Source organism: Homo sapiens, chromosome 16 (assembly GCF_000001405.40).
Source record: "Homo sapiens chromosome 16, GRCh38.p14 Primary Assembly".
Lineage (NCBI taxonomy): Eukaryota > Metazoa > Chordata > Mammalia > Primates > Hominidae > Homo > Homo sapiens.
In genome coordinates this window covers 25,236,001-25,261,906 of record NC_000016.10, presented here as the reverse complement: position 1 = coordinate 25,261,906, position 25,906 = coordinate 25,236,001, and the positions used below count along the sequence as shown (strand labels likewise).

The 25,906-nt window shown below is 43.9% G+C and overlaps 1 protein-coding gene and 1 long non-coding RNA gene across 3 annotated transcripts, besides 5 other annotated features; one reads left to right on the top strand and one right to left on the bottom strand.

Moving 5' to 3' along the window:
- Positions 1 to 840: 840 nt before the first annotated feature.
- On the bottom strand, positions 841 to 4,330 carry ZKSCAN2-DT (ZKSCAN2 divergent transcript). The gene has a single exon (NR_170220.1). It is a non-coding gene; the product is annotated as a ZKSCAN2 divergent transcript (long non-coding RNA).
- Positions 3,201 to 3,280: an enhancer, noted in NCBI's record as "active region_10608". NCBI's record gives its function as "activates an Ori minimal core promoter by ATAC-STARR-seq in GM12878 lymphoblastoid cells {active_cell/tissue: GM12878}" and the evidence as "EXISTENCE:reporter gene assay evidence [ECO:0000049][PMID:35858748]".
- Positions 3,401 to 3,720: an enhancer, noted in NCBI's record as "active region_10607". NCBI's record gives its function as "activates an Ori minimal core promoter by ATAC-STARR-seq in GM12878 lymphoblastoid cells {active_cell/tissue: GM12878}" and the evidence as "EXISTENCE:reporter gene assay evidence [ECO:0000049][PMID:35858748]".
- Positions 3,931 to 4,130: a silencer, noted in NCBI's record as "silent region_7296". NCBI's record gives its function as "represses an Ori minimal core promoter by ATAC-STARR-seq in GM12878 lymphoblastoid cells {active_cell/tissue: GM12878}" and the evidence as "EXISTENCE:reporter gene assay evidence [ECO:0000049][PMID:35858748]".
- ZKSCAN2 (zinc finger with KRAB and SCAN domains 2) lies at positions 4,062 to 25,906 on the top strand. Of its 2 annotated transcripts, NM_001012981.5 has the most exons (7): positions 4,062 to 5,178; positions 6,515 to 6,701; positions 8,870 to 8,961; positions 9,872 to 9,998; positions 14,517 to 15,200; positions 17,631 to 18,122; positions 21,169 to 25,906. In NM_001012981.5, exons 1-7 carry the CDS (start codon positions 4,780 to 4,782, stop codon positions 22,089 to 22,091), a joined length of 2,904 nt encoding a protein of 967 aa, NP_001012999.3. In that variant the 5' UTR covers positions 4,062 to 4,779; the 3' UTR covers positions 22,092 to 25,906. The 2 variants fall into 2 exon arrangements, with proteins under 2 accessions (NP_001012999.3, XP_016878689.1); XM_017023200.3 differs by lacking the exon at positions 4,062 to 5,178 and having other exon boundaries at positions 6,600 to 6,701; positions 9,861 to 9,998.
- Positions 4,136 to 4,696: an enhancer, noted in NCBI's record as "H3K27ac hESC enhancer chr16:25268532-25269092 (GRCh37/hg19 assembly coordinates)". NCBI's record gives its function as "activates a minimal SCP1, AML or CMV promoter by ChIP-STARR-seq in primed H9 embryonic stem cells {active_cell/tissue: H9 hESC(primed)}" and the evidence as "EXISTENCE:reporter gene assay evidence [ECO:0000049][PMID:30033119]".
- Positions 4,211 to 4,450: a silencer, noted in NCBI's record as "silent region_7295". NCBI's record gives its function as "represses an Ori minimal core promoter by ATAC-STARR-seq in GM12878 lymphoblastoid cells {active_cell/tissue: GM12878}" and the evidence as "EXISTENCE:reporter gene assay evidence [ECO:0000049][PMID:35858748]".

Sequence of the window (25,906 nt, the reverse complement as noted above, 5' to 3'; positions counted from 1 at the left end):
GCTTTCAAGTTTGTGATTCCTGCTCCCTCATGTCCCCAAGCTGTTTGTGATACTTGCCTCTCCTAAAACCACCAAATAGCCCAAGGAGAATATAAAGAACCCTACTCTTATTTGAATCTGAATCCTGGGTTGCCATTTAATCTGATGTAACCTTGGGCAGTGACATCACCTTGCTCAAGTCTCAATGCCCTAAACTCTAAAATGAAGGTAATCATATCTGGTTTATAGGATTTTTGTGAGGACTAGGCTTTGCCTAATTAGCTCTTCTCCTTTGGATCTCACCCCTAGCACTGCTTCTTCAAAAAAACCTTTCCAGACCTCCCAAATAGATCAAATCCCTCTGACAGACATAGGTTCTCAGCACCATGTCTCTTCTTGGTGGCACCCATCTCCCTTAGAATTGTACTTGAGTTTGTGGATTACTTATTTAATTCCTGCCTCTCCCACCAGACTGAAAACTCAATAATGGGAGGGGAATCCTGCTTTTGCTCCCTACCTACCACCATATCTGGCATTAAATAGGTCCTCAATAAGTATTATTTAAAAAGAAAAATGAGCTGTGTAAGGATGCTGATACAACCCCTGGCATATACGAGGTACCCCACTGATTCTCTCTGCCCCACCCTCAGGTAATGCCTGTTATGTACATGGTACCCTAAGCTTCTGGGGCTAAAATTGGCTCAATTTTTAACATTTGGGAAACAAGTGATTAGGTTGTGTTTTCTAATAAGCTATCTACCTCCCAGAATAAGGATTTTTGTTTTGCCCACTGACATACATGTAGCCGAACTGGTGTCCAGGCCACTCGTCGCCTGAAAGCCAAAAACTCAAAAGACAAGCTTTGGTGAAAGCAAAGTTAGCTTTATTCGAGAAACCAGCAACCTGCAAAAGGCAGTGCACTAGCATTCAAAGACCACCTTTCTCAGTTGTGCCTCTAGATCCAGGGATTTTAAGGAAAATTAGGAGAAATAATGATCAAAACATTCTTGTGGGCCAGGAGCGGTGGCTCATACTTGTAACCCCAGCAATTTGGGAGGCCGAGGCAGGTGGATCACTTGAGGTCAGGAGTTCGAGACCATCCTGGCCAACATAGTCAAACATCATCTCTACTAAAAATACAAAAATTAGCCAGGTGCGGTGGCACACGCCTGTAGTCCCAGCTACTCAGGAGGCAGAGGCTACAGCGAACCAACATCACTGCACTCCAGCCTGGGAGACAGACCAAGACTGTCTCAAAAAACAAAACAAAGAAACATTCTTGTGAATCATGCGCAGTCTCAGATGGGCAGTTAGTCATTACTTTCTTGGTCAATGCCTTGTGACTAGACTGTGCAGGGGCCATCAGCCTGTTCCCAAAGCTGCGGGTCTGTGTGTTTTATCTGTTGAAGAAGGTCCTGTTTTTTTCTGTGGCTGTTTTTAGTGAATAGTTTACAAACTCAGGCAAAACAATAATTATACTCAAGCAAGCAAGCTTTTCTCTAACATAGAGTCAGTACTGCTGTTACCCGTTGCAGGGCCTAGGGGACTTAGCTGGACGCCTACCTGGCTTTTGTTACCCAATGCAATGCCTCCATGACATAGCTAAATTCCTACTCAGATTTAACTCTGCTTATTTTTAGAAAACAGGTTGTCTGTGGTCATAGGTTCCTTCTTAGCTTACTCGACCTCTGAAGAACCTCTAGCTTCATTCTAATCCAACTTCAGTACTAAATGACATTCCCACTGGTTGCCATGACAGTTGACAATCACCGTGATGACCCGAAGAGACCAAAAAAAGGACAAAAAAAGGGGCAGCTCCTTGATTCCAGGAAAATCTACCTCCCTTCCCAAGAAAAAACATGAATATTCCTCCTCTTGTTCTTAATTTTTATTTTTTTTAGAGACAGGGTCTTACCATGTTGCCCAAGCTGGTCTCCAATTCCTGGGCTCAAGCTTTCCTTCTGCCTCCTCGCCTTGCTCTTAATGCCCAGCCCCTTCATTAAGGACACCTGACGACTAAGCTCTGATTCTTTTGTTTTTTTTTTCTGTTTTGTTTTGTTTTTGACACAGAGTCTCACTTTGTCAACCAAGCTGGAGTGCAGTGGCACAATCTCAGCTCATTGCAACCTCCGCCTCCCGGGTTCAAGTTGAGTCTCATGCCTCAGCCTCCCAATCAGCTAGAATCACAGGCGTGTGCCACCATGCCCAGCTAATTTTTGTATTTTTAGTAGAGACGGGGTTTCGCCATGTTGGCCAGGCTGGTCTTAAACTTCTGACCTCAAGCGATCCACCTGCCTTGGCCTCCCAAAATGCTGGGATTATAGGCGTGAGCCACCACGACCAGCCTAAACTCTTGATTTTTTTAATCCTGCCCAAATTCCTATCTAAGGGATCTGGGGAGTCATGACCTACAAACCATAAATTCTCATCAGATGGGTTTTATTTAATCCTATATATGATGACTTACTTTCCATTCTGACTCTGGCATAACATTACGTGACAAAAAGAAAGTCAAAATATTTTACCCCAAAACATGTTTCCTTGCCCTATTTTGCAATTTCTTCCATAAAGGACAGCATTTTCCCCCAAAAGCTATCCTTTGTGGGGTAAAATGTGCATCTGTAAAGAACATCTATTAACATAGCTAGATGTTTTTCTTCCAGGCCCTCCCAATCCTAAACGGATTAACTAAAAGTCTAACACCTTTTGAAGATCTGAATAGGAAACATTTGTCATCTATTATCTCTAAGAGCAGCCACCATAAGACTTCAAAAGAACCTTAGTCTCCACTATCTTTTATCTTAACCTGAACACTTCCTTTCTATCAATCCCAGGTCTTCAGACAAACTCAACCAATTGTCAACTAGAAAATATTTAAATTTACCTATAGCCTGGAAGCCCCCACCCCCACCCCTTTGCGTTGTCCCGCCTTCCTGGACCAAACCAATGTATTTAATGTATTTGACTGATGTCTCATGCCAACCTAAAACATAAAACCAAGCTGCACCCCGACCACCTTGGGCACATGTTCTCAGGGCCTCGAGAGGGCTGTATCACAGGCTGTGGTTACTCGTATTTGGCTCACAATAAATCTCTTCAAATATTTTGCACGGTTTTACTTTTCGTCAACACTCCCTATTACCTGTAACTTCTCAGTTTCCAAGAGCTGAGAGCTTGATTTGCGAGCTACCCTCCCACTTCTCCAATTCCATGGCCACTGAATGAAGGCTGCACTGCCTGATACTCACACTTGGTCTCATGCGCTGGCTCTGCAACAACGGACAGACAAGAGTTCCTTTGGGGGAAACCAGCTTCCCAGGTGACACTGTTGCCTCTGCTACATGCGCAAAGCGCAGCCTGGCACATAGTAGGTGCTCAAGAGAGGGAAAGCCGGGTCTATGAATTCAGGGACAGGGGCAGCACCAGAAGAGAGCAAGCTGGGGCCTGGCTGGCTGAACCCTGGCCCCGAGACCCCTGTGACCCCCCTTCTCATCAGGATGCACCACATGAACCTCCCCAACGCGAGGGCCAACAAGTGGCCCCAGATGAGACCGCGCCGGGAAGGGCCTGGGGCCACGCACAGATACTTCCGCCAGAAAAACACCACGCCGCGCCGTGCACCTCCGCCAGAGGAAGAAGGTCCCGCAGGGTCGGGGTAACCGCTCCATCCCCGACCGCAACCCTGGACCAGGTACAAGGAACAGATCCCTCCACCGGAACGCCGTGTCCCTCCGCCAGACACAGGAGTCCCCGCTCCCGTGCTCTCCTTCCCCGGCAGCCAGGCCCCGGTGCCGACTCCTCCGCCTCAGGGAGGCCCCGCCGCCGCCTAGATTCTCCGCCTGAAGCGGGACTCGCGACGGCAGGTTCCCTAGAATCCCTCTGTGTCCCTCCGCCCCGGGGAGGACCCTCCGCGCCCCTCTACAATCTTAAAGTCCCTCAGCGACGAGTCACCGCGCCGCGCGCTCTCGCGAGAGTCCACCGCACGGCCCCCCCCCCCTCCCCCAGCCCCTCGCCCGCCAGGACGCCTCGCGCGGGCCCCGCGGCGCTCGGTGGCAGGCGGCGCATGCGTGACTGCGGTTCCCAGCGCCCCCCGCGCTCTCCGCGGGCCGAGTGGACGAGGCCGAACGCGAGCAGCCTGCCGCTGCCCCCTGCGAGCCCTGGCTTCGCCCCGCAGCTCTTCTCCCTTCCGGGCGGAACAGTTTTTGCGGCCTTTCCTCGGCGGCAGCGGTTTCCTCAGGACGGTCGGGGCCGTCGTGGGCCCGAAAGAGCCCGGCGCCGCTCTCGGAATCCGGCGGCCCCAGCGGCACCCGCGGCGGCCTGGACGTGCTGCGGTGACCCGAGCCCGGAACCTGGCGCCGGGCGGGGCCTGCACATCCGGCCCCACCCACTCGGGGACTCGCCTCTCCGCGCCCGACCCGGGAGTAGCGGACACACCCCCTCCCGGCCCGGCTGTCCGCCTCCGCCCAGCCTTTCCTCAGCCTGCTTCATTTTTCTCCCAGTCGTCCAGCCTCCCGGTTTCCGACTTTGCACTAAGAGGGATGCACTCTGGAAAACCACATTGCGCGGTCACATCTTGTTTGGAGAAGAGGCCAGGCTTTTGCATCTTAGAGTATACGTTCACCTTTTCAAGGGCCTGGCATAGATTTGATTAATCAGCCTGGAATACCCTGTTCCTGCCGACCTGGCCGTTTTTACCTCCGTACCTTATCACACTCCCAGGAACATTAAGCAGGGAGCGCTTGGAGTCTTCTTTGGGTCCCCACCTTGAGCTAGACGTGAAGTTGACCCCTGGGCTGCAGCATGGCTGTCGCCCTCGACTCTCAGATCGACGCGCCCCTGGAGGTTGAGGGATGCCTAATAATGAAGGTGGAAAAGGACCCTGAGTGGGCATCAGAGCCCATTCTGGAAGGATCGGATAGCTCTGAGACCTTCCGCAAATGCTTCAGGCAATTCTGTTATGAGGATGTGACTGGACCCCATGAAGCTTTCAGTAAACTCTGGGAACTTTGCTGCCGGTGGCTGAAGCCAGAAATGCGTTCCAAGGAGCAAATACTTGAGCTGCTGGTGATTGAGCAGTTTCTCACCATTTTACCCGAGAAGATTCAGGCTTGGGCACAGAAGCAGTGTCCGCAAAGTGGAGAGGAAGCGGTGGCCCTGGTAGTGCATTTGGAGAAAGAGACTGGAAGACTAAGACAGCAGGTGAGAGAGGATTTTCCAAATTTTTGTACTTAGAAAAAAGGGAATGGGAAAGGCATGTGGGCAGGGATGTATTGCAGAAAGACGTGCTCTTCAGAGAAAGATAAATGGTACTAATAAAAGACCCTATAAGGGGGTCTTTTCACTTTAAGTGAATCCACTTAAAAGGGGATCAGAATTTCACATGAAATAGAAAAATAAAAGCTTTGATTGAAATATTATCTTACAATGGAAACCAGACATTATTCACCTAAGCATTTATCGTCATCTTTGGCATAATGTTTGCAACAAAACAATATAAGAGAACAATATGGTTTTGCGTCACAGAGGTTCACTTACGCATTTTGATCAAAAAAGGCTATTCTGTTCCCCCTTTAAAAAAAAAAAAAAAAGACTTCATCCGTTATCCCAGAGCCGTCTCCAAGCGTTTTACTGTTGCACTCAGTGTCTTCTGAAGTGCTCTCATGCCTTCATTTCTGTCACTCTCCTCCAGTCTAACTGCCACATCTTCATTTCTCAGTGGCTTGCATGCTCTTCTAGTTGTTCTTCAACCTCACTTTCATGAACCTCGTGAAATCCTGCAGCATTTGCAAGATTTGCGGTTTCACCTTGCATCAGACTTGCATTGTGTAGAGATCTATCAGCAGGTTGCTGTATTGGTCAGGGATAGACAGATAGATGTGGATATTAATTTTGTAAGTTTTCATTTCACTACTGTATATATTCATGTCCTGGTAACTTCTTTGCGAACGTAACAGATATAGAGTCAAATAATATCTATTCTAGCAACAAGGAGGCTCTTTCACTCCTGACAGATTTCCTTCTCTGTTTAGTATTAAATATTATTCTGGCCAGGCGCGGTGGCTCACATCTGTAATCCCAGCACTTTGGGAGGCCGAGGCATGTTGATCACCTGAGGTCAGGAATTCGAGACCAGCCTGACCAACATAATGAAACCCCATCTCTACTAAAAAAATATAAAATTAGCCGGTTGTGTTGGTGCATGCCTGTAATCCCAGCTACTTGGGAGGCTGAGAGAGGAGAATCGCTTGAACCTGGGAGGTGGAGGTTGCAGTGAGCCAAGATCGTGCCATTGCACTCCAGCCTGGGCAACAAAAGTGAAACTCTGTCTCAGAAAAAAGAACACTGTTCTGTTACCTTACACCCAGACTGCTGGACAGTACTCTCAGCCCAGCGCTCTCAGAGACTCCACTGGGAATGGAGTGGAATTTTCATTCCTTCTCATGTCTCTGTCCTTCTTTGATGTCTTTCCTGGGAGAATTTCGCCCTGATATGGGCCTGTTTTACTCCCTCTTATGGTATTGACTTCATTTCTCAGGTCAGCAGTCCCGTGCACCGGGAGAAGCACTCCCCACTTGGAGCAGCGTGGGAGGTGGCAGACTTCCAGCCAGAGCAGGTGGAGACCCAACCCAGGGCGGTGTCTCGGGAGGAACCTGGAAGCCTCCACTCAGGACACCAGGAACAGCTGAACCGAAAGCGAGAACGTCGGCCCTTACCCAAGAATGGTAAGAGGGAAGACTCGGAGCACGCCTAGTGCAGAGGCTGGGGCAGATTTCCGCAGTACCCCAACGCTGTGAATGTGCAGTGGAGGGCCTCCTTGATACATATTCAGAATAGGAGAAAGGTTTCATTCACTTCAAGAATTAGGAACATGTGCAATATAAGTGAAAAGGTATCATAAAGATGGAAACTGAGTCTGGGCAACATGGGAAAACCCAGTCTCTACAAAATCGCAAAAAAAAAAAAAATATTAGCCAGGTGTGTTGGCGTGCACCTGTGGTCTCAGCTACTCAGGAGGCTGAGTCAGGAGGATTGCTTGAACCCAGGAGGTTGAGGCTGCAGTAAGCCGTGATCACACCACTGTATTCCAGCCTGGGTGACAGAGCGAGACCCTGTCTCAAAAAAAAAAAAAAAAAGATCCAAACTGGGGAAACTTAGATTGCCTGGGCCAGCTATGAGATCCTGTGGTGGTAAACTCTCCATGGCTGGACACAGTGACTCACGTCGTAATCCCAACACTTTGGGAGGCCGAGGCAGGCGGATCTCTTGAAGCCAGGAGTTCAAGACCAGCCTGGGCAAGATAGCGAGACAAACACATTTTCTCTACAAAAAAATAAAATAAGATCTACATTCTACAATCATCATGTGTTTTTCAGTCCTGCCATGTGTATGTGCTCTTGGCTGACTATAAATAAGTCAAAAAGCTGTTTGAAAGGGAACAAGGCATTTGTGTTCAAAGTTTGACTCACAGGCCATCACAGAAGTGGCATACAAGAGAGATAAACAGTTAAGATTTCACAGGGAAGGGACCACTGACATTCATAGCTGCCCTGCACATTAATGACTCAGGTCAAATGCTAGGAAATGAATACCCTGTCCTTCCCAGTCCACAGTGATCTCTCCATCTCCTGAAGTGTGGCTTCATCTCAGTCTTAAAGAGAGGAATGGAAACATCACTAAACCTGCCGTCAGAAGTCTTCTGTTTATATCTTGTCTCTGCCACCTTCTGTCTGTGATCTTGGGCAAATAATATGAAAAGACGCATGAATGCACAGAGGCTAAGAGCTTAGGCTTTAGAGACAGACAGACCTAGATTCAAAACCTAGCTCTGCCATTTTTTTATCTATGTGGCCTTGGTCAGGATACTTAACTTCTCAAGCTTTCCATTCTCTCATCTTTATTTTATTTTATTTTATTTTATTTTTTCTTTGAGGTGGAGTCTTGTTCCAGGTTAGCGTGCAGTGGCACGATCTCAGCTCACAGCAACCTCCGCCTCCCAGGTTCCAGCAATTCTCGTGCCTCAGTCTCTCGAGTAGCTGGGATTACAGGCGTGTGCCATCATGCCTGGCTAATTTTTGTATTTTTAGTAGAGATGGGGTTTCACCATGTTGACCAGGCTGGTCTTGAACTCCTCACGTTAGGTGATCTGCCCGCCTTGGCCTCCCAAAGTGCTGGGATTACAGGCGTGAGCCACCACACCCAGTCCTCTCATCTTTAAGAGGGAAATAGCAAGGCTATTTGTGCAGATTAAATGCGGCAGCATGAAGGAGCCAGTGCATAATAGTGCTCAATAAATGCTAGTTTCCTTTCCCCCAGAATGGCACAATTATTTTTAAACCTCAAGTCTGTCTGATTTACCCAGCCCTTCACTGAGAGGCAAGATTCAGTACTACTATACTGTTTTATGCCTCCCCAAATTTATATTATGATGGAATGCATTGCAAATGTCCATGATTGAGAGAGACAGAGAGAGAGAGAGAGAGAGAGAGAGGAAGGGAGAAAAGGGAAGGGAGGGGGAAAGGAAGGCTGGGGAAGGGAAAGGGGGTAGGGAAGGAGGGAAGGTACCACAGCCATAGTCTCACACTGAGACATGAGCGGGACCTGAGCATTGGCATTGGCAGTGCCCTTTCAATCAGATGTGTGCTCTCCAGTTCCCACAGTCCTTACCTGGTCCCCTTCATCCTGTATTTACTTGCTTACCCCCGGAAAGCATTTGAGGCTGTGATCCCAGCTTTAGGGTACTGTGTTTTTGGGGATTGTTCTGAACTCACAGATAAAATGGTGAATTTATATTTGTTGGTGTTTCAATACATACTCATCTCTTAAAAAGAGAGACAGCATGAATTAAAGGGTCAAAGCCCAGATTACTAATCGTTTCTTTCTATTCTTACAGCTCGGCCTTCTCCCTGGGTTCCTGCCCTTGCTGATGAATGGAATACCCTAGATCAGGAAGTGACAACCACACGGCTTCCTGCTGGGTCCCAGGTACATTGTAATTGTCTTTTTTTTCTTTGAGATGGAGTCTCACTCTGTCACCCACGGTGGAGTACAGTGGCGCAATCTCAGCTCACTGCAACCACCTCTGCCTCCTGGGTTCAAGCGATTCTCCTGCCTCAGCCTCCTGAGTAGCTGGGACCACAGGTGCATGCCACCACACCTGGCTAAGTTTTAGTATTTTTAGTAGAGACAGGGTTTCACCATGTTGCCTAGGCTGGTCTCAAACTCCTGACTTCAAGTGACCCGCCCGACCCGGCCTCCCAAAGTGCTGGGATTACAGGTGTGAGCTACCATGCCCTGCCGTAATTATCTTCTCTGGCCTTCCTTACTAGGGTGTTTAGGCGCAATGCTTTCTGTGCCTTCACTGTCCTCAAATTTTTATACTCCCGTCAAGAGTATAAAAGTGTATTTCCCCCTTAGTCCTTTACTTATACTTACTTTAAATATACTTATACTCCCCACAAGAGTATAAAAGTATATTTCCCCCTATTCCTTTACTTATACTTACTTTAAATATAATTACTTTACTTACCTTAAATATACTCCCCACAAGAGTATATTTCCCCCTTATTCCTTTACTTATACTTACTTTAAATATACTTACTTTACTTACTGTAAATACACTTATAGTCCTCACAAGTGTATAAGTATATTTCCCCCTTATTCCTTTTCCTGAAAAGATGGGACCCAGTCTTCTGAGTAATGAGACTCCTTGCTGGATCATCTTGTTTATCTTGTCATCTTATGATTCTTTCTCTTCTGCTTCATTTGGCGCAAACTATCCACTTGTTCCTTGATTTCAGTTCTTTAGGGTTCTTCTCTGCCTCATCTGTGATTGCTCATCCTTTGAAGACCTGTGCAGTTATCTTGGTAGTCATTGGTGTTAGTGTCATTACAGGAACCAGTGAAAGATGTCCACGTGGCCAGAGGCTTTTCCTACAGAAAGAGTGTGCATCAGATTCCTGCCCAAAGGGACCTCTACCGGGATTTCAGGAAGGAGAATGTTGGGAACGTGGTCTCCCTGGGTAAGGATTCCTTCCCTTTCCAAATATAAGACTTGGAGCTTTCTAATGTATTCATTTCTACTGATTAGAAGATAGGCAGATAGAAATGTTAACACTTAAAGGATCTCTAAGGATTGTCTAGTGTAATCACTTAGCCAGGTTCTCTTCCCTCACCCACTCCTCCTTCCAGTAAAAAAATAATAATAATAATTTAGTGATTAAAACATTGGAGAGGAGTTACATATGACTATCATATTTGTATTACATAAAATGGTGTAGTACAGTAAATGGTATTATTCCTTAGGAAACTGAGGCTTAGAGAGCTTAAGAAACTTCCCCTGGTCAAAGTAAAGTAAGCAATGTAGCTAGGATTCAAATTACGACATGTTCATCTCTTTTGTATCATAAGCTGGCAAATTCTCAATTTGCTTTCTGTTCTTAACAGCTCTTTCCTATTAACCTCACCAAAATGTCTTCAGAAGTTTTTTTTAATTAATGAAATATTTTATTAATGAAATATTTTGTTTTCAATAAATACTTACGAAAATATATCTGTACCAATAATTTTCAAATGTGAAGTCACAGATTATTTTTCCCCTTCATGTAATAGAAAAGTAGATTTCAGACTCTTTTGAGGAGAAAGACATCTTTGACGTGTCTCAGGACCACAAAGCTATAATAAGATATAAGGCTTTTTTTTGCCCACCTACCCTCAACCTCCTTAAGCAAAACAACTCAATTTTATTTCTTTGATATATGTATTTGTGGGTTCCTGTAAGTTTTGTTTGGAAATTAGGTTCTTCTACCAAATTTTTTTCGACTTTATTGGGGTACAAATAAATTTAATATTTATTTATTAAATATATGTAAATAAGGCCAGGCACAGTGGCTCATGCCTGTAATCCCAGCACTTTGGGAAGTCAAAGCAGACAGATCACCTGAGGTCAGGAGTTCAACACCAGCATGACCAACATGGTGAAACCCCATCTGTACTAAAAATACAAAATTAGCTGGACATGGTGGAACATGCCTGTAATCCCAGCTACTTGGGAGGCTGAGGCAGGAGAATAGCTTGAACCCAGGAGGCGGAGATTGCAATGAGCCAAGATCACACCATTGCACTCCAGCATGGGCAACAAGAGCAAAACTCCATCTCAAAAACTACATATATGTATATATATGCAAATAAAATTGTGTATATTTAAGAATGTCATATTGCAACTTGATGATTTTATGTACATATACATTGTAAAATAATTACCACATTTGAGTTAACACATCCATCACCTTACATAGTTATGTATGTGTGTGTTGAGAACACTTAAGATCTACACTCTCAGCAAATTTCAAGTATACACTATAATATTATTAACTGTAACCATCATGCTGTATACATTAGAATTTTTTAATCTTATAACTGAAAGCTTATACGCTTTGACCATCATCTCCCCTTACCCAAGCCCCTGGCAACCACTGTTCTCTTCTCACTTTCTCTAAGTTCAGCATTTTAGATGCCACATGTAAGTGAGATCATATTTGTGTTCCTCTGTCTGGTTTATTTCACTTAGCACAATGCCCTCCAAGTGTTGTCACAAATGGCAGGATTTCCTTCTTTTTTTTTTTGAGACAGAGTTTTGCTCTCACCCAGGCTGGAGTGCAGTGGTGCAATCTCGGCTCGCTGCAACCTCTGCCTCCTGGGTTCAAGCGATTCTCCTGCCTCAGCCTCCCGAGTAGCTGGAACTACAGGTGCATGCCACCATGCCCGGCTAATTTTTGTATTTTTAGTAGAGACGGGGTTTCACCATATTGGCCAGGTTGGTCTCGAACTCCTGACCTTGTGATCCACCTACCTTGGCCTCCCAAAGTGCTGGGATTACAGGTGTGAGCCACTGCGCCCAGGCTCCTTCTTTTTTATGACTGGCTAGTACTCCATTATATTTTTTTTCCTATATTTTCACATTTTCAATATTCATTCATCAGGAGGTACTTGGGTTGTTTCCATGTCTGGACTATTGTGAATAATGCTTCATTGAGCACGGGAGTACAGCTATCTCTTCAAGATGCTGATTTTGTCTCCTTGGGATATGTACCATAAGTGGGATTGCTGGATCATATTGTAGTTCTGATTTTTTGAGGAGCCTCCCTAATGTTTTCCATAATGGCTGTACCTGTTTACATTCCCACCAATAGTGCATGACCATTCCCTTTTCTCCACAACCTTGTTATCATTTGTCTTTTTTTAATTGACAGATAATAATTGTGTATATTTATGGGGTACAATGTGATGTTTTGATACATGTTTTCGTTGGGGAGTGATTAAATCAGCTAATTAACAAATCCATCACCTAGGCAGGGCATGGTGGCTCATGCCTGTAATCCCAGAACTTTGGGAGGCTGAGGTGGGCGGATCACAAGGTCAGGAGTTCAAGACAAGCCTGGCCAACATAGTAAAACCCCATCTCTACTAAAAATACAAAAATTAGCCAGGTGTGGTGGTGGGTGCCTGTAATCCCAGCTACTTGGGAGTCTGAGGCAGGAGAATCTGTTGAACCCAGGAGGCAGAGGCAAGTCGAGATCGTGCCACTGCATTCCAGCCTGGGCTCACTCTGTCTCAAAAATAAAAGAAAATCTACTCTTCTAGGAATTTTGAAATAGACAAAGCATTACTACATATTATAGTCACTATATAATAGATTACTAAATTTATATAATAGATTACTAAAGTTTATTCCTCCCATCTAACTGAAATTTTGTACCCTTTGATCAAATCTCCACTTTCCCCATCTTCCCTCCTCCTCCCCCAGCTTCTGGTAACCATCTTCTACTCTCTACTTCTATGAGTTGGACATTTTTAGATACTGCCAAAAAAGTGAGGTCATGTGATATATGTCTTTTCTGTGCCTGGCTTACCTTAGTTAACATAATGTTCTCCATGTTCGTCCATGTTGTTGCAAAAGGCAGAATTTTCTTCTTTTTTAAGGCAGAATAATATTCCTTTGTGTATATAGACCACATTTTCTTTATCCATTCAGCCTCCTGGTTGCTTCCGTATCTTAGCTGTATGTGAATAATGCTGCAGTGAACATGGTAGTGCCTCTTTGGCCTACTGATTTTAATATTTTTGCATATATACCCAGTAGCAGGATTGCTGGATCATATGGTAATTCTATTTTTAGTTCTCTATGGAACCTCTGTACTGTTTTCCATAATGACTCTTCCCAATTCACAGCTCTGCCAACAGTATTCAGAGGTTTCATTTTCTTCTCACCAACACTTCTTATTTTTGTCTCATTGATGATAGCCATTCTGAAAGGTATGAAATGATACCTCATTGTGGCTTTGATTTGCATTTCCCTGATGATTAGCAATGTTGAGCACCTTTTCATGTACCTATCTGCCATTTGTATGTCTTCTTTGGGAAGATGTCCATTCATATCCTTGGCTTATTTTTTAATGAGATTATTTGTTTGGTTTGTTGTTATTTTGCTATTGAATTGTAGGAGTTCCTTGTATATTTTAGTTATTGACCCCTTAGCAGATGAGTGGTTTGCAAATCTTTTTTTCTATTCCATAGATTTTTTCATCACTTTGTTGACTGTTTTTGTTGTTGTTTTGGATTAGATTTTTTTTTTTTTTTTTTTTTTTTTGCTGTATAGAAGCTTTGTAGTTTGATGTAGTCCCACTCATTTATTTTTACTTTCATTGCCTGTGCTTTGATGTCATATCCAAAAAAATTATTGCCCAGACCAGTGTCAAGGAGCTTTGTCCCCTGTGTTTTCTTCTAGGAGATTTATGGTTTCAGGTCTTATATTTAAGGCTTAATCCATTTTGAGTTCATTTTTGTGAGTCGTGTAAGACAGGGGTCCAGTTTCACTCTTTTGTATCTGGATATCCAGTTTTCCGAGCACCATTTGTTGAAAAGATGATCTTTTCCCAGTGATGTGTTCTTGGCACTCTGTCAAAGATTATTTAGCTATACATGTGTGGACTTCCTTCTATGCTCTCTATTCTGTTCTACTGGTCTTTGTGTCTGTTTTCATACCAGTACCATACTGTTTTGATTACTGTGGCTTTGTAATATAGTTTAACAAAAAATTCTTGGCTTCTTTTCTCTTATAGTCCCAGTGCCTATATATGTATGTATGTTATGTATGTTGGGGTGGGCATGGAGGGGAATGTGGGGAAAAGATACACTTTATTTTACAAGTAACAAATACTGAGTAGGAGCATACCCTGAACCTAACACAACACTGGCTACTGAGAGAGAATCAAAGGTTAAAAATATATATTCTTACCCTTAAAGGTTTTCCTGTAAGAACTAGCTAGGAAAAGAAATGGTACATATATGAGAAGTAAAATGATCGTGTAAGTTAGTAGATGTTTGTACCAAGGAAGTCATGTAAAAATAAATGTGCAGTGTCACAGCTGAGGAAGGTTTGGGTGTGAACAAGTGGCCCAGGAGAGCATGTGACAGCAGAAGATTGAGGCATGCAGTAATGACTTCTATGTCTACCATGAAATATGTTTATTTTACTGTAGGAAGTGCAGTGTCTACATCTAACAAGATAACCCGGTTGGAACAGAGAAAGGAGCCATGGACTCTAGGTCTGCATTCCTCTAACAAGAGAAGTATCCTACGAAGCAACTACGTCAAGGAAAAGTCAGTTCATGCTATTCAGGTCCCTGCAAGGAGTGCAGGAAAAACATGGAGAGAGCAGCAGCAGTGGGGTTTAGAAGATGAAAAGATAGCAGGTGTGCATTGGAGCTATGAGGAAACAAAGACTTTCCTGGCAATTCTCAAAGAGTCTCGCTTTTATGAAACACTTCAGGCCTGTCCCCGAAATAGCCAAGTGTATGGTGCTGTGGCTGAATGGTTGCGAGAATGTGGCTTCCTTAGAACCCCAGAACAGTGTCGAACCAAGTTCAAAAGTCTCCAGAAAAGCTATCGAAAGGTGAGAAATGGCCACATGCTAGAACCCTGCGCCTTCTTTGAGGACATGGATGCTTTGTTGAACCCTGCAGCCCGTGCTCCGTCCACTGATAAACCAAAGGAGATGATACCTGTCCCCAGACTGAAGAGAATTGCCATCAGTGCTAAGGAACACATCAGCTTGGTGGAGGAGGAGGAAGCTGCAGAAGATTCTGATGATGATGAAATAGGCATCGAATTTATCCGCAAGTCTGAAATCCATGGTGCCCCTGTCTTGTTTCAGAATCTCAGTGGTAAGAATTGTGCTTTGTTTCTCTGGTAGGAAAACAGATGTGTGATCTTGTGGAAAAAGGAGTAGACCAGAAGTGGCCAAACCCGGGGGGTGCTGTCACACACACCTCACCACTTTCACTGTGGTGTGGCCACATCACTGAAGTACTCTCAGGTGCTTGCTGCTGCCCCCATTGCAGTCAGAGTAACAGCTCCAAGTGGCCGTGGAGAAGTCGTTTTCACTTTAGAGCACAGCATGGATTTTGAGTGTTTGGGTCCTTGTGGAAGGAAGACAAATGGAGTTACAGGGTTCTAAGGATCTTGTATTATCTGATAATTGGCATAAAGCAATCAATTGTATTGCATTATAAGTCAAGCATGCATTATTACGTTATCTAAAATAACCAGTACAAAATTTTGTAACAGTTTCAACAGGTTTTCATTAAAAATAAAATAAACATTTTTTGTGTAATCTAAAAGAAGACAAAGGAGAGAAAAAAGAATACAAAATAGATGAGTCAGATGGAAAAAAATAAGATATAAATCCAAATATATAATTAATTACAAACTTAAAGAACTAAGATTATCAGACATTAATTGCTTATAAGAGATCCACCTTAAATATAATACAGAGACATTAAAATTAAAAAGGCAGACAGATACACCATGCAAAAGAGAGCTGGTGTTAAATATTTTGTGACTGAGACATGCAGAATTAAATCGCCAATTAATAACTGTGTGACAGTAGACACATCACGTAACTACTTTGAGCTTCAATTTTCTCATCCGTAAAATATGGCTAAGAATACCTCATAGGGTTGTTATTAGTGTTAAATAGGATAATATAAATGAAGGCACTGTGAAAATGCTAAAATATAATACAGCATTGCCTGGTATCACTGTTATTAGTAATGTTTCTTTACTCCAGCTAGAGATAAATTCTTTTTTTTTTTTTTTTCCGAGACGGTGTCTCACTCTGTCACCCAGGCTGGAGTGCAGTGGCGCAATCTCGGCTCACTGCAACCTCCTCCTCCTGGGTGAGTTCAAGCAATTCTCCTGCCTCAGCCTCCTAAGTAGCTGGGATTACAGGCACCCACCACCACGCCTGGCTAATTTTTATATTTTTAGTAGAGACAGGGTTTCACCATGTTGGTCAGGCTGGTCTCAAACTCCCAACCTCAAATGATCCACCCACCTCGGCCTCCCAAAGTGCTGGGATTACAGGCATGAGCCACCGCACCCAGCCTATAAATTCTTACATAGAATGGAAAACTAAATCAGGCTAGGGAATGTATCCATGACTAAACCCATTCAAAAGAAATATCTGGCTGGATGTGGTGGTTCATACCTGTAATTCTAGCACTTTAGGAGACTGAGATGGGAGGATCCCTTGAGGCCAGGAGTTTGAGAGCAGCTGGGCAACACAGCGAGACTCCGTCTTTACAAAAAATAAAACAATTAGCCAGGCATGGTGGCACACTCCTGTAGTCCCAGCTACTCAGGAGGCTGAAGCGAGAGGGTCGCTTGAGCCCTGGAGTTCAAGGCTTCAGTGAGCCATGATTGTGCCACTGCAGTCCAGCCTGGGCAACAGACTGAGATTCTGTCTCAAAAAATAAAAAATAAACATCTGCTAAGATGGGAAGATGCATTATGCCTAGACAGGTCTCACCAATCTGAAAATCCATCAACATGAGGCTGGGACTCTTGGGGTGGTCTCAAATATGGGAATCCAGTCATAGGCCTGGAAGAAACCACCTAGTAAGATAGAGGATAGAGATTTTTCCTACAATAGATTACAAAACATACAAAAAGCATGTTTTACAAATTATATTTAGATATGCCCTGAAAAGTTTTATTCTGCTATAAATGCAGAACATAGTCTTGTCTTACAGATCATTTCATCTCAAAGTAGAGGATTCAATGACATCCAAAAACTACTCTGAACATAGTTCTGCTCCTCAAGGAAGACTGCTTACAGAAGTGGTAGGAAATTTGAGGGGGAAAGTTCCTATTGGAAATTCTAGTCATTATTCTTAACCACTTTGGAAAGAGACTTCTAGAGAACTAAATCATTTAGTTAATCACCATAGCAATGGCAGATTTGGGGGACTGCATTTTTATTCTTCCAAATAAGCTTTGAGATTAGTTTACCGATTTCAGTTTTAAAAATCTGAATGGGATTTTGACTATAGATTCATATGAGAAATGATATCTGTACACCTTGAGTCTTCCTATTCATAAACAGTGTCTTGTCATTTTTTCTAGTTTTATGATATTACACATTTTGATATAGACCTTCTCATTTCTTGCAAAGCTTATTCCTAGGCATATGTAGTTCTTGTTGCCACTGTGAATGGGATTTTTTTTTACCTCTACATTTCTTAATGTATATAGTATAGAGGCTAGAGACTCCTTTTCTTTGTTACATTGTGAACTTTATCCCCAAATGGCAGGCGTGCACTGGGGCTATGAAGAAACCAAGACTTTTCTTGATATCCTCCGTGAGACTCGGTTTTATGAAGCGCTTCAAGCCTGTCATCGGAAGAGCAAATTGTATGGGGCTGTAGCTGAACAGCTTCGAGAGTGCGGCTTCCTCCGGACACCAGAACAGTGCCGAACCAAGTTCAAAAGCCTTCAGAAGAGTTACCGCAAGGTGAAAAATGGCCACGTGCTAGAGTCCTGCGCGTTCTACAAGGAGATGGATGCCCTGATTAACTCTCGGGCATCTGCTCCTTCCCCCAGCACCCCAGAGGAAGTCCCATCACCTTCAAGGCAAGAAAGAGGGGGTATTGAGGTTGAACCCCAGGAACCTACAGGCTGGGAACCTGAAGAGACCTCACAGGAGGCAGTAATAGAAGACTCTTGCAGTGAGAGAATGAGCGAGGAGGAAATTGTGCAAGAGCCAGAGTTCCAGGGACCTCCAGGTCTACTGCAGAGCCCAAATGGTAAGGTGCAAAACCAAGGAGTTTTAGTCCAAAAGAGGAATAAGTGTGATTTACTGAAAAATGAGTAGATCTTGCACATAGCTCATGAATATTCCTTCATTCAAGAAATATTTGAGTGCCTGTGCTACTTGAAGAACAGGGGATATAGCAGTGATGTTCTTGGCATGGTGGCTCACACCTGTAACCCTAGCAGTTTGGGAGGTTGAGGCGGGTGGATCACCTGGGGTCAGGAGTTCAAGACCAGCCTGGCCAACATGGCGAAACCCTGTCTCTACTGAAAATACAAAAATTAGCTGGGTGTGGTGGCGGGCACCTGTAATCCCAGCTACTCAGGAGGCTGAGGCAGGAGAATCACTTGAAACCTGGGAGGCGCAGGTTGCAGTGAGCCGAGATCGTGCCATTGCACTCCAGCCTGGGTGATAGAGTGAGACTCCATCTGAAAAAAACAAAGTTCCTGTTCTCATGGTGCTTCTATTCAAAGGAGGAACTCACGTTAGAGTGACTCAGTCCTTGGGTTCTCAGCCTTGGTTTTTGTTGGTATGGGTCAGACAGTGTTTTGTATCTCCTGGAAGTACCGTGGGGAAGAAAAACTTGGAATTACACATGAGAAAAAACTTGGATGAAGAAAGTGTTTCAGTAAGCACAAAAGAAGAATATCTTATGGTTATATGGGGTGTGCAAGACAAAAAAGATAGGCAGAGACTAAATAAAAGACTTTATTCTGGTCCTGAGCTCCACCTGCATGTTTCCCACTGACTTACGCCCTCGTGGGCCTGTCACTAGTAACTCAGGCTTAAGATGTTCAAAACTAACTTCACCATCTTCCTTACCACACCACGGCTCTTCCCTGTGGGCTCCCGCCCTCATCCAGACTATCACGTCTATCTGTCCCCTCTTCAGTTACCATTAGCCACTGTCTAGTTCAGTCTTCTCTCTCTCTTGCCTAGACTGTTGTAAAAGCCTCCAAACCAGTTTTCTCCACCCACACTTTTATTAAGGTTTCACAGCCATTTTTGATCTGAGCTCATCTTACTCTTCTAGTCTACATGTCAGCATTTTCCTTCCTCAACTCTGCTTATTCAGAGCGGAACTACTGGCTATTTCCTACATGCACCTCAAGCTCTTTCACATCCAAACTTTAGCTTGCGATGTTCCCTCCACCTTGAATGTCCTTGGCTCTACATATCTCCATGTCCAAATTCTCTCTCACCTCCCATACTTTGTCTGTCTCTGTCTTATGGCACTGAACACTTTGTATGTAAGATCTCCCAGACATGGTGAGCTCCTGAAGGACAGGAGCTCCGTCTTCCCATAACACTAGATTAAGCCCTCGGCAATCAGTTGAATATGCAGGGTAATTCAGGACTAGTTTATTGAAGCAAGTGACTCTAGCTTAGTATATATATGGGAAATTATAGTATGAAGGCTTGAATTAAGTCCTGTAGAACCCTGGCTTTGATAACTGGAAACAAAGTCCTTGTGAATCTTGTTTTTAAAGTGAGCTCCAAACCTATCATCAAATTATCAAGCTTTCTCTGAGCCAACTCCTAGGTTGTGACTTCCTCCAAATCGCAGAACAATGTTGAACTCAATCAGAAAACTTCAAAAGAAGTACTGACAGGCCAGGTGTGGTGGCCCACACCTGTAATCCTAACACTTTGGGAGGCCAAGGTGGGAGGATCGCTTGAGCACAGGAGTTTGAGACTAGCCTGGGCAACATACACCCCATCTCTACAAAAAATAAAAAATTAGCTGGGAGTGGTGGTGTGCACCTGTAATCCCAGCAACTTCTGGGGTTGAGGTGGGAGGATCACTTGATCCTGGGAGGTCAAGGCTGCAGTGAGCTATGATCATGCCACTGCACTCCAGCCTGGGTGACCAAAAAAGTACTAATAAGTGAAAGATGGAATTGTTAGGGCTTTTTACTTAAGTGTCTAGATTGATTGATGGCTGCCCTCCTCTCCCCATCCCATGCCACAGCCTCCACACTTGGGATTGAGAGTTATCTGTGGTTTCTACTGAATGTGTGGAAGGAAAGTAATGTTGAAACTGGCAGTAGAAACAAGGCAGGAGAGCAGATGCTTAAGAACAAGGATTAACCTGAATTGGGCCTAAGTTGCACAGCTTGTGAAATGTTTATGGATGAAATAACGTGATGTCTGGAATTGGCTTCAAAGTAGTCTGGATGGAGGGAGCAGGGAGTATGTGGGCGTGGAAATGAAATGAGATTGGCCATGAATAGGTCATAGTTAAATGTAGGTAAGTGGTTTGTGGGAGTTCATTATACATACTGTTCTCCAGACTTTTCTGTGTTTGAATTTTCCATAAGTTAATACAAAAATCACACAGTTAATAACTCACCAAGATGGGACCAGACTCAGAGCCGTGTAATTCCAAAACTTGTCTCTGTTCACCATGTCATGCTCTCTGTCCAGAAAACTTAACAGAAAATCTGGATCCAAGATGTAGTGAACGTGGGATGTAGGTGAAAAGAGTGAGAAAATAATCCAATTTGGGTAACAGTGAGAATTAAGATTTCATTTAGTGTGGTTTATGGGACAGCCTGAAAAACAAAGTGAGAAGAACATTTGAAAAGAAACAGGTACCCTTGGGTGGGATATGATTAGATATGTAGAGGAATTTAGTTCCTGAAGTCCCTCGAGGAACTTGGACTTAGTCAGAATCTAATCTAGAGATCAGTGTGGTGTAGTGTGCTTTAGTATAGAGGTGAAATTATGAAAATAGGATGAATTAGAGTGGAACCTCAGGGAGATAAGCCAGGTTGCACCCTTGTTAATCGGGATATGGATGGGGAATGATGGCTTGGATTATAATGCAGGAAACATTTCTTAAGGCCTACTCTGTACTGGCTGTTATTGGCCTGTTTATGAATGGAAAGAAATATAGCAGAATGAATCAGGGAAGAGTCACAGGATCTGAGGTTAGAGAAGTGTATGGAGAGCAAGCGGATCAAGCCTTGCAAGCCAGGTTGTTTATGGTTAATATCAGACTTGTATAAAATTTGTATTGTCTTTCATTTTTTCAGATTTTGAAATCGGAAGTAGCATCAAGGAGGATCCAACACAGATAGTATATAAGGACATGGAACAGCATAGGGCATTAATAGAAAAGTCTAAAAGAGTTGTTTCCCAGAGTACCGACCCCAGCAAATATCGCAAAAGGGAATGCATCTCAGGAAGACAATGGGAAAATCTTCAAGGAATTAGACAGGGAAAGCCGATGTCTCAGCCTAGAGATTTAGGGAAAGCCGTTGTGCATCAGAGGCCTTTTGTGGGGAAGAGACCCTACAGACTTCTCAAATATGGAGAAAGCTTTGGAAGGAGCACTCGTCTGATGTGCCGGATGACCCACCACAAGGAGAATCCTTACAAGTGTGGTGTCTGTGGGAAGTGCTTTGGTAGAAGCAGGAGCCTGATCAGACACCAAAGAATCCACACAGGCGAAAAACCTTTTAAATGTCTTGACTGTGGAAAAAGCTTTAATGACTCCTCAAATTTTGGTGCCCACCAGAGAATCCACACAGGAGAGAAACCCTACAGATGCGGAGAGTGTGGAAAATGCTTTAGTCAGAGCTCTAGTCTTATTATACATCAGAGAACGCACACCGGTGAGAAGCCCTATCAGTGTGGAGAGTGTGGGAAAAGTTTCACCAACAGTTCTCATTTCAGCGCCCACCGGAGAGTTCACACTGGGGAGAATCCCTACAAATGTGTGGACTGTGAAAAAAGTTTCAATAACTGTACGAGATTTCGAGAACATCGGAGAATACACACTGGAGAGAAGCCCTATGGATGTGCCCAGTGTGGCAAACGTTTCAGTAAGAGTTCTGTTCTTACCAAACATCGGGAAGTTCATGTGAGAGAAAAGCCTCTGCCACACCCTCCATCTCTGTATTGCCCTGAGAACCCACATAAGGGAAAGACTGATGAATTTAGGAAAACTTTTTGATGATGATCTTCTCTTCCTAAATGCCCCCTTAGCCATTTTACCCTAATCTCATTCTTGGAAGCAATCTTTTCTTAGCTATGAAGTGTAATTTCCAAGATAAACTTGAGAATATAAATAAACTAAACACTTTCATCCTGTTCTCACCTCTGCCTCTAACTTCATCAGTCTGTTCCTCCTCTTCTGTGTGTCTCAGCTTCTCCTTTAAGAATGTGGCGAAGATACATTGTCCGAGTTCAGAATGAAATACCCTTCAGTACATTGAGGCCACTGCAACTGGATTGCTAAGTTCGGCAACATTCAAGATCTTCCATATGGGTGAGAGTTGTCTTCAAGGATATAAAAAATGCCAAAAGTTTTTTTGTTGTTATTACCTACTCCGTGAGATCCTGGATGAAACTTGATAACAGATTTTCACATTTAGATAGAACTTTGAGGAGTCTGATCGGAACTACATCAAATCCATCTTGGTTTTGAAGAGATCCACAAAAGAAGAGTGAAGATTTTATAGCTTTCCTCAGAAGTCTGTTACAGTGTACCTTTTTTTTTTTTTTTGTCAAGAAGTTGATCCAAATAGCTAGGGCAGAATCCCTGTATTGTCACTGAAATCCTGTTACTAATGCCTTGCCCTCCATGGAGGTGAGAAGCAATTGATCACCCCTCATCCTTTTCTGTACCCGAAGACTTAAATCCCCTGGCTGCTGCTTCTCCAGCCTATAAGTAATCCCAGGTCCTCCTACTGTTTCTCATAGCCCTGCACTTGCCTCTCAGTTGCTCTGGGTGCTCCTGCCGGCCTCTTCCGAACTACCATGCCCTCCTCAGATAGAATAGGAGGCCTGCTCGTGGTGTGTCTCACTAAAGCAAAGTAGGATTTCAGATGCGTTCTAGTTCTATCCTCTAACTTCTCTGGCTCTTATCTAGAACATGACTGGCATGTTGGCATATTTCGTACCTCCCACCCCTGCACTGCAGTATAATATTATAATAGTGTTTCTAAAACTTTAAGGGGATAGGGAAGAGGTAATAGACACCTGAAGCATTTCTAAGACCAGTTGGACTCCTTTGGCCTGCTGTCGATCAGATAGCCACCTCAGCTTAGACCAGCGCTCTCAGGTCTGGCTGTTAAATCTCCCAGTCTCTTTTCCTGAGGCTTCTAGTCCCTGTTCACCGCATCAGAAACCTAACTGTAGTGTGCCAAGTAACTTAACACAACTCTAGAGCTCACTGGGTGAAAAGTGGGAACATTTATAAAAACTTCAATCCAGAAATCCAGAACACCGTTTTTGTTTTCCTCATTTACTTGTTTTGTCTGAAAAATCTCTTTGAGAACCCCCGGCAGTAACCCAGTAAACACTGAAGGAAAAGTTCTGATGGGGGATGGTTAATTGACTTTTGAAGTTACAGATGAAACCCAGAGATTTGATTTTCCATGGCCAGTTGCTTCAGGATGGAGTCAGTGGCGTTTATTCCCTTAGTATGTAGGTGACCCAGGGTGGCTTTGCTTTGGCAAGGGAGAAGTCACAAGTTTAATGGGAAGGGAACCGGAGTTAGGGCTGTTTGTGGGTGATTATTTTGCTCTTCTCTCTCCCTTTCTTTGTCAAATGCTCTTATTTGAAGCCATCTGGAAATGATATTTTTCCTTTTGGTATGTTTCAATCTTTTGAAACTTGTTCAGCAAAGTACCTAGGAGGGTAGGCACTGTAGAAAGAAATCTAATTTATGGTGCCAGAATAGGGTGTGGCCTGTTGGAAGGCAGGTGACTCAGGTAGACATTGATAAATGTTTCTGATTTACATTTGTTGGAAATATTATGACTGTTCACATCTCAATAGGTTGATTTTTCTGTGTTGTCCAAGTTATAGATTTCTAATGCTAAGTACAGTTCCATGTTGGTAGTGTGCGTAGCACAGTAAGATGTTTGTGGTGCCAGTGGGCTTGTGTTTATATTGTGTAGATGTTCTGGAATTCCAGCTCTAGAGAAGATGTAAATTAATAGAAATCACCACTTAATAATATGTACACAGGATTGATATTATGTGGAAGCATGATTCAGGAAAGTAGATGACTTATTCATAAATATGAAGCACTGTTACATGTAAGGCCATGTTCTAGCCACAGTGAATGATAGAAAAAGGAAGGAAGGGGCATGGTGCCTGGGCTCAAGGAACTCACAGTTTGATAGAGGAAGCATCACAGCAAAAGTTGGGGCCACTTACACCATGGCAGTTACAGAAGGCCAGGAGCTCAGTCATGAGAACATCACCTTCCCCTGCAGAAGAGTTGCGCTAAGTTGCCCAGAATCATATTCTGTACCTTCATCTCTCAACCTTCCCCAGTGGCAGGAAAGGGTCAAGCAAGACCCATTCCCTCTCTAGTGGGACAAACTGATTCTGTTTAACTCTCATATGCCTGGGAGCAAGCTGAGGTGGAATTTGGGTTCCCCTATCTCTACTCCTAATTGTAAATGGGCTGTCTAGACATGTGTTACATTAATTTGATGAACTTTGTTCTGAAGAAATGGAAGGTCTCCCCCCCATTTTAGACCAACACTACCTGTCTCCCTGCATTTTATTTGTTTTCACCTGGTACATGTAAGTCAAAATGAATAATCATGTTCTGACCAATGTGTCTTTTAGATCACATAACATTGCCTTTATGAAGATTCATAGAAAAAGGTTTTTTTATCTAGATCTCAGTGCCAAGGAAAGCTCTGATCCTAAGCGCAGTATGTGTACACACACACGTCTACATGTGTGTGTAGATCTGTATGTATGTATTACAAACACTGTGATTTTTGTAACTTAAGCTGCTTTTTCTCTCTTTGTTCTGGCTGCTGGAAAGTTCAACAAAACTTACAGCCCACCTCAACCAACTACCCCAACCTATATTTATTTAATTTCATCTTATTTCCTTGTAAATTGTGTCAAATCCTGTTTTTGAAAAGCAGCATAGACTGACAACTTTTCACTATCATCTTATCGAAGGCATTTTGGAAACTGGGGTCGTATGTCCCACCTAGGCTTGCTTTGTTACTGCCACAAATACCTCCAGTTCTTACCAGTGATGTTATTATGCATTCAACCTAATTCATTCATCTGGAAAGAAACAGTTTTTTAAAAAGGGAAACCTCACACGTAAATGGCTCAGGGCAGCCTGGCCTTGGTGGAATGAGCATGAGACTGGAAGCTGAAAGAAGCAAGTTTTAATCTTGTCACTAAATGAGTGTTGTTTGACACATCATAGCCTCTCTGGGCCTCGGCTCCTCATCTGAAGAGAAGTTGAACTTAACTGCTAAGTTGCTCTGGCTCTAATGTTTCATGAGGCTGTGGAGCGTGATATAGATGCGGAAGAGGTTAGAAGACCAGGCTGCCGGCCCAGCTGTCCTGTGCCTGCCACATCTGGCCATACCAAATCCATCGCATGCTTCAGGAAAGGGAGGGGATGCTGTGACAGCAAACTCAGCCCAGGAGCTTGTTGGGGAAGGAGAAAGGGCAAGTCCCTCGTGGTCCACAGCAGGCACCCCCCAAGCACCTCGATAACCAGTGGCAGGTAGGCTGAAGTGAAGGAAGCCTCTGTCAGGAGGTCTGGCGCCCAGTGACAGACAAGACAGCTGTGAGGGAGCTGGGGCAGCCCTGGCTAAAGGAATGTCTGAGTAACTTGTGAAACTGGAAGCCTCTGCCTCTGAATGCATTCCAAGACCTGGTGCAAATGGATGTCCATTCATTGTTTTGTATCAGTGTTCACTTAGATGTCTTCTTGAAAACTTGTTTGTGGAATAAATGTCTAAAATAAATGGCTCCCACTGGTTTCTGCCATAA